Raw genomic sequence first — 7,558 nt, 5'->3', positions numbered from 1 at the left:
GGTCGGGGGCGTCCCGCGCTGTGCGCTCCAGCCGGGCCCAAGGGAGGCCGGGGAGGGGCAGCCACGCCGTGGGAAAGGCCAAGTGGCAGCGGGATCTTCTCTGTGTATTTCCCGAGGAATTTGTGGTTCCTTTTTCCCGGATGCGCTGGGGCACCAGGGTCAGTCCTGTGTGAGCATCTCGACCTGCACAAGCCTGCTGGGAAACAGAACTGAGGCACTGGAAGTGGGTTCTGGGGAACGAAGAGCTTCTCTTTTTTGCCTGCCCTGACACTCCCATCTTCAGAAAGTGTGCAGAGGTCAGAGGAGAGCCGCCGTTCCAGCTTCCGGGATCACCGAGGGGAGGCTGGAGAGAATGGACTGGCACCTGGGTCTCTTCAAGGACAGGCCTAGGTTAGCCCCCTTCTCGCCGAGGTCGGAAGAATTAAGAGGGGTGTCACTGGAAGGGGCGTCAGTGGACACCAGTTTGAGGTCGTTGAGGGGTTGAAAGGTAGCATTGGGGCCTGGATGTGTGCCTGAGTCTCTGAAGGGTCAACAGGGGCATGATGTCAGGTGGTCAATTTAATTCACTAGGGGCTATCAGAGTATTTAAGGGCACACTTTCTTAAAGGTCCCGGTAGGAAGTGGTTTTGGCTTTGCTATCGCTGCCCCAGCTGCTTAACTCAGCTGTGGCAGCATGAAAGCAGACAATATAGTGTGGCTGTGTCCCAAAGAAACCATTTATGGACAAAGAAATCAGAATTTCATGTAATGTTCATGTGTCATGAATTATTCTAGTGTGTGTGTGTGGCCTACAGGCTGTCGTTTGCTGACCTTGGCTGAAGTGATGGAGCGATCAAAGTGGCTCTGTGGGGATCAGCAGCTAGGGCTGTTTGATTTATCGTGGGGTCCGCAGGGGTCACTGTGAGATTCATGTTCATCATTTATCAGTTTCATCTTTGAGCATTCTCAGGGAGGTAATTGTTTAGGATGGTGGTGATAGGGAATTCATTGGAAGCCAGTCGGGGTCCCTTGGATGTTCATGGGGGGGGGGGTGTCAGTAGATATTAATGACAGTCATTGGGAGGCCAGTGGATACTTGGGACAAGAAGTGAAAGTAATTGTGGGGCCATTGGGATTTGGAGTGTTAGTAATTGAAGGGTCCGAAGAGTCTGGGAAGTCATTGAGAGCTCTGCTCAGTGCATGATAGTGACTCTCAGTATAATCATTGAGGGTTTGTGGATGGCCATGGAGATCCAGGGAGGTAGAATACAGAAGCATCAGTAAGCTTTCAGAAAATAAAGACATTTTCTGGGAAAATGTGAGCCCCTGAGCACACATGGTTATTCAGGGCAGTCTTTATGGGCTAGAGGATCTCTGTCCAGCAGCAGGGATCCTGTTGAGGGCCTGTCCTCATAGGCTGAGGTCTGTCTGACTGGTGGAGGGCATGTCGTCCAGCTGAAGGTCTGGTTGACTAGGTGGGTGGGGTGTTCTCTCCTCTGGGGTAATGTCTCTGTCCATTTTGGGGAGGGCACCTGTCCTTGAGGGATTCTGACCTTTGCCTGGCTGGGGGGCCCAGGTGTCTCTCTGGCCACAGGCCTATTTGGATGTCTGGCTGAGGGTCTACCCATCTGTCAGTAATCTGTCTGTTTGTCCAGCTGGGTGTTTCCCTGGGATTCTGTCCATCTGGAAGTCTGTCCAGCCAGGGTGTGTGTGTGTGTGTGTGTGTGTGTGTGTGTTTGGTGGTTTGTCTATTAGAGGATCTGAGTGACTAGCCAGATGCTGCCTTGTGGCCTGTGAACATTAAGTGGCTGAGGCTGTAGTCTGCCATTTGTACTTCCAGCTGCCTTGAGTGTCTTTCTGTCCTCGTGTTCACCCTCACTCCAAGCCCCACCTTGTTGTTTAACCCACCTGTCCTCCTGACACCTGACCGTTCCTCATGTCTCTCCAAACATCCAAACTCTTAGCTTGCCCTCTGTTCAGCTCAGGCTAGGTGTGGGGGATGGGAAGACCCCACATCTTCCAGAGGCCCTGGCCCACCCCGGCTTTTCTCTCCCGGAGGACTGCCAGCTGTGTTCTTGCAATGAGACTCACTGCTGCTGGTGGCCCTCCTGTTCACGCTGCCAGCAGCAGTCTTGCACAGTGGGAGCTGCTGGCACTGCTACAGAGACCCCAAGTGTACCAAAGCCCACGTGCCATGTGCCAGTCTGTCACCTGCCCACCAGTCAGTGTGGCTACATGGGCCGCTCAACAGAGCCAAGAGGACAAGGTAGAGGAAGATGCACAGGGACAGGTGCACAAGGCTGTGAGTTCAGCCTGCTCTGAGCCTGCAAAGGGGAAAAGAGAAACTACAGTGGAGACCCCTGGCAGACACCCCTTCCTCTGGGATGCTTGCGGGGAGCTCCTTGGAGACTGCTGGCATCTCCAGGGTACAGTTCTTCTCCAGCTTCCTTTTTTGCTTAGTTAAAAAAGGGCAGAGACCATCCTGGCTAACACAGTGAAACCCCGTTCTCTATTAAAAGTACAAAAAATTAGCCGGGCGTGGTGGCGGGCACCTGTAGTCCCAGCTGCTCGGGAGGCTGAGGCAGGAGAATGGCTTGAACCCGGGAGGCGGAGCTTGCAGTGAGCCGAGATTGTGCCACTGCACTCCAGCCTGGGCGACAGAGCAAGACTCCGCCTCAAAAAAAAAAAATCAATAAATAAAAATAAAAAAAGGGCAGAAGACTGGAACCAAAATGTTTGAGTTAGAATTCTGGCACCATGACTTTCTCAGTATGACCTTGGGCAAGTCATTTAATTTCTATGTCTCAATTTCCTCCTCTGTAGGACTGTGTCTCTTCTTGTTGCTTTATTGTGAGAATTTAAGGAAATCATTGTATATAAAGCATTTAGATAGAACAGCACTTGGCTTGCAGTATACACTTGGTACTATTAATATTATTATTACACTGCTAGTTTCCCTTTCTGATATTGCCACGCCCACCTCCTTACTCCCTCCTCTAAGTTAAAACAAAAGTGGAAGGGGGGGCATAAATTTGAAAACATTTTCCCATTGCTTCATTCTGTTAAAAACCTTCAAGCTGGGCAAGTTGTCCTGTTGGTCCATCCACAAGTCTGGCATTTAGCAAACAGGAAAAAGGCAACCCTCTTCAGTGCAAGAGGAAGCATGTGGCTGTGTCCCCCTCCCGTCCGATGCCTGAGAGCTCTAAGTCCTCTGGGAGAGCTTTTGTTCCTGTCTCCTCTAACTCTCCTCAGGCGTGCCAGGTTTCAGTGTTCTGAATCAAAGACTCCTCCTGATCGCTCCATGGGAAAGGGTCAGCAGCTCAGCGCGGTGGAAAGAGAAAGCCAAAGAGAAAGAGGCCAAAGAGAAAGCCACCCTACCCCTTCTCAGCGCTACCACCAAACCCCACAACCCCCAGCTCTTTGTGGAGGCTGACCTGCTGCCCTCGGGAGCTGTCCTGCAATTCTGCTTCAGAAAGGAGGGGAAACCACTAGGAATAGAGGGGAAAGCCCTCTTCCCCATCTTTAAAATGCTCATACCAACTTTTCCCCCACTACTCCAGGGCAGAGCCTGGGCATCTGCATGGCCCAGAGCAGGCCCCCGATGTGCCCCTGGAGGAAATAAACTCGGGCAGACAAGTGCTCTAACAGCAACGCTGGCAGCACTCTGGGACTTCCATGACTGACAGGCCGGGTCAGGCTGCTGCCTCCTCAGCCTGCAGTTTCTACACCTGATGCTAGCCCAGCTTCAGCATACTTCCTCTGTATGCGGTGCTTTATTTAGAAAAGACCAACTGGCCATGTTATTGTCAGCAAATGCCGGCCAGGGTCCTGCACAGATGAGGGCCGTGTCTGTGGGCCCTGATTGCACAGCCCATGTGTCATGGCTGAGTGCAGTTCCCAGGACAACCAAAGGGATGCATGGATCCGTGTGCATTGCTGTCTGCCCATCAATTATAACACCAGAGAGAAATGAGTGTGCATCCATGCTTGGGTGAGTGTAAACACCTCTGGAAGGATTCCTATAATGAGGGGGCACCCTCACTGCTGCTGCTGACCAGGGTGTTCTGAAGTCCTAGGCAATGCAGGGTGGCAAGGAGAAAGGAGGGAGGGGCCCATCAGAAATGCTAACTGGCATATAGCATAATCAGCTACAAAGTTTTAGAAACTCTTATGAAAAACTGTAAGGACTTATGAGAAAATTTAATAAGGTAGCTAGTTAAAATACACTAACTAGGCCAGGCGTGGTGGCTCATGCCTGTAATCCTAGTACTTTGGGAAGCCGAGGTGGGTGGATCACGAGGTCAGGAGATCGAGACCATCCTGGCTAACATGGTGAAACCTCATCTCTACTAAAAATACAAAAAATTAGCCAGGCATGGTGGCGGGCGCCTGTAGTCCCAGCTACTTGGGAGGCGGAGGCAGGAGAATCGCTTGAACCCCGGAGGCGGAGTGAGCAGCGATTGCGCCACTGCACTCCAGCCTGGGCAACAGAACGAGACTCCATCTCAAAAAAAAAAAAAAAAGAAAAAAACTACACTAAGTACTTACACACACCAGTTTAATGAATTTGAAACTGTAATGCAAAAAGCTTCCATATTAATTTCTTGAGAAATAGGCACCAAGTTTGAACCCCTAATAAATTAATGGAGCTATGCAATAATACTGCCTACTGACATCACAAAAACGACTCCCAGGCAGGCACTGAGATTCCTAATGAAAGAACATAACACCCTCATCAAGTATTACTGCTAAAAAAATTTGCAGGTATATCTGATTGAGCCTCTAGATCTCAATATTAATTCAGAGAAAACACAACGGCAGACAAAAATGTTAAATGACACCACAGTGTTAAGATCAGCAACATCCAGACGGTGAAAGGTCTATTAAGACAAACCAGTTTCCTAACTGAGTAAACTGCAAAGAAACAGACAATCTTATAGAGAGACTCAAGACTTAACACACAAATGCTCATAGCAGCATTGTTCACAATGGCCCAAATGTGGCAAACAACCTAAATTTCATCAACTGATGGATCAAATGTGGCATATAATAATACCCCATGTATAGGGACATACATGGAATATTATTTGGCAATGAAAAGAAATGAAGTGCTGACATAAATAAATTACACTGTGAATAAGCTTAGAAAACATTATGCTAAGTGGAAGAAGCCAGTCAGAAAAGACGTATTATTCCATTTACATGAAATGTTCAGAAACAGCAAATCTATAGAGACCAAAAGTATTAATTAAAAAAAAAAAATCCTGTTCTAAGGCTGGGCACAGTGGCTCACGCCTGTAATCTCAGCACTTTGGGAGGCCGAGGTGGGCAGATCATGAGGTCAGGAGATCGAGACCATCCTGGCTAACACGGTGAAACCCCGTCTCTACTAAAAATACAAAAAATGAGCCAGGTGTGGTGGCAGGCACCTGTAGTCCCAGCTACTCGGGAGGCTGAGGCAGGAGAATGGCGTGAACCCGGGAGGCGGAGCTTGCAGTGAGCCGAGGTTGCACCACTGCACTCCAGCCTGGGCGACAGAGCGAGACTCCGTCTCAAAAATAAAATAAAATAAAATAAATAAATAAATCCTGTTCTAATGTCTCAGCAGAGTCTGGCCAAAAGTAGACTAGTGGTTGCCAGAGGGGCTGGGGCCTGGTGGGAGGGAGGGGATTAGAGTGACAGCTAATGCGTATGGGGTTTCTCTCCGGGGCAGTGGGGGCAGAGGGGGACAAAAAATGTTCCAAAATTAGATTGTGGTGATGGTTACACAGCCCTATGAATATGATTTTTAAAAAATCATTGATGCACAGGGACGGGCGCACAAGGCTGTGAGTTCAACCTGCGCTGTGAATTGTGTAATATGTTGACTATCGCAATAAAGCTGTTTTTAAAAGACTTGTCAATTATTTGCAATGAATGGACCTGATGTCGATCTTAGTCGAAACAAGCACACTCTAATCAAGGCAAGCTGAACATTAAGTGGATATCTGATGATATAAAGGAATGATCATTGATAATTTTATGTGTAATAATTTTTTTGTTGTTGTTGAGTCCTTATCTTTTAGAGATATACATGGAAATACATATGGATGAAATGCTCTGATGTCTGAGATCTACTTTAAAAACTGGTGGAGTGGATACAGGGAGTGGGTGAGCTATGAAGACTGGCTCACATCAAAACCGGCTCAGCGACTCACTATACCATCTTCTCTGCTCTTGTATGTTTCAAATTTTCCACAACTAACAAGATTTAAAACAATCAATCTAGAGGTGAACAAATGCATCTATAAGGAGAGCAGACCCATCACAGAAAATACATAACACACAAGGCCAGTAAGTATTTGAAAAGAGGCACAACCTCCAGAGTAACTAAAGAAATGCAAATGCAATTGGGGAAACATTTTGCACCTAGTGCGTGACAGAGGTTAAAACCTCTGATGATGCCCAGGGCTCACCTGGGGAGCAGGTGCTCACATCTTGTGATGGTGCCTGTGGAGAGACACAACCTCTACTATCATTTTATTTTAGTGTTTTCTTTTTATTGAGACGGAGTCTTGCTCTTGTTGCCCAGGCTGGAGTGCAATGGCGTGATCTTGGCTCACTGCAACCTCTACTTCCCGGGTTCAAGCGATTCTCCTGCCTCAGCCTCCTGAGCTGCTGGGATTACAGGCACCCGCCACCATGCCAGGTCAATTTTTTGTATTTTTAGTAGAGATGGGGTTTCACTATGTTGGCCAGGCTGGTCTTGAATTCCGGACCTCAGGTGATCCGCCCGCCTCAGCCTCCCGAAGTGCTGGGATTACAGGTGTGAGCCACCACGCCCGAATTCCTCTTGTAGGGATGTATGCATCAGATACACTTGCATAAATATGCACAGAAGTATGTTCAATGATGCTCTCGAAGCAGTATTTGTGGGGGTAAAAACAGGAAGCCACCCAACAATGTAGCCACAAGGAAGGAGGCAGATCCATGTGTACTAGACAGCCTTGGAGCCCTGTGGCATCCATTTGTCATTAAAGGGTAAGATGCAAGGTTCAGAGTAGTGTGCACAACATGATCCCTTTCAGGTTAAAATATAATTAACAGTCAACAAACTTATGGATACCATGAATAAAAGATATCAGTCCAGCTTCTTTAAAAAGTCAATACTGATGACCTCTGGAGACTAGGGATGGGTTCTTTGGGGTGGAAGGAGGATGATGGTTTACTTTTCACCATGTGCACTTGTGTGTGTTTTTAAAAATGTTTTGTAGAGATGAGCTCTCCCTGTATTGCCCAGGCTGGTCTCAAACTCCTGACTTCAAGTGAACCTCCTTGCCTTGACCTCCCAAAGCGCTGGGATTATTACAGGTGTGAGTGACTGCACCAGGCCTTCTGTATGCTTTTTTATCATAAGGATGTCTTCCAAGTGTCCGCCTGTACCCCCCCAAAAAATGGGCAGAGAACTCAAGAGGGCAGTTCTTCGTGGTCAAGTGGATACAATGTTCACCTGCTAACATTACAGTAAAGAACCTCCCTCCTCCCTGGGTACCCAGTGCACCAGCAAGGAGTTCAGCCTTCTGGGGATGATGCAGCACAT

Source organism: Homo sapiens, chromosome 2 (assembly GCF_000001405.40).
Source record: "Homo sapiens chromosome 2, GRCh38.p14 Primary Assembly".
Lineage (NCBI taxonomy): Eukaryota > Metazoa > Chordata > Mammalia > Primates > Hominidae > Homo > Homo sapiens.
The sequence above is the reverse complement of the archived record's forward strand: the minus strand, read 5'-3'. Positions refer to the sequence as shown.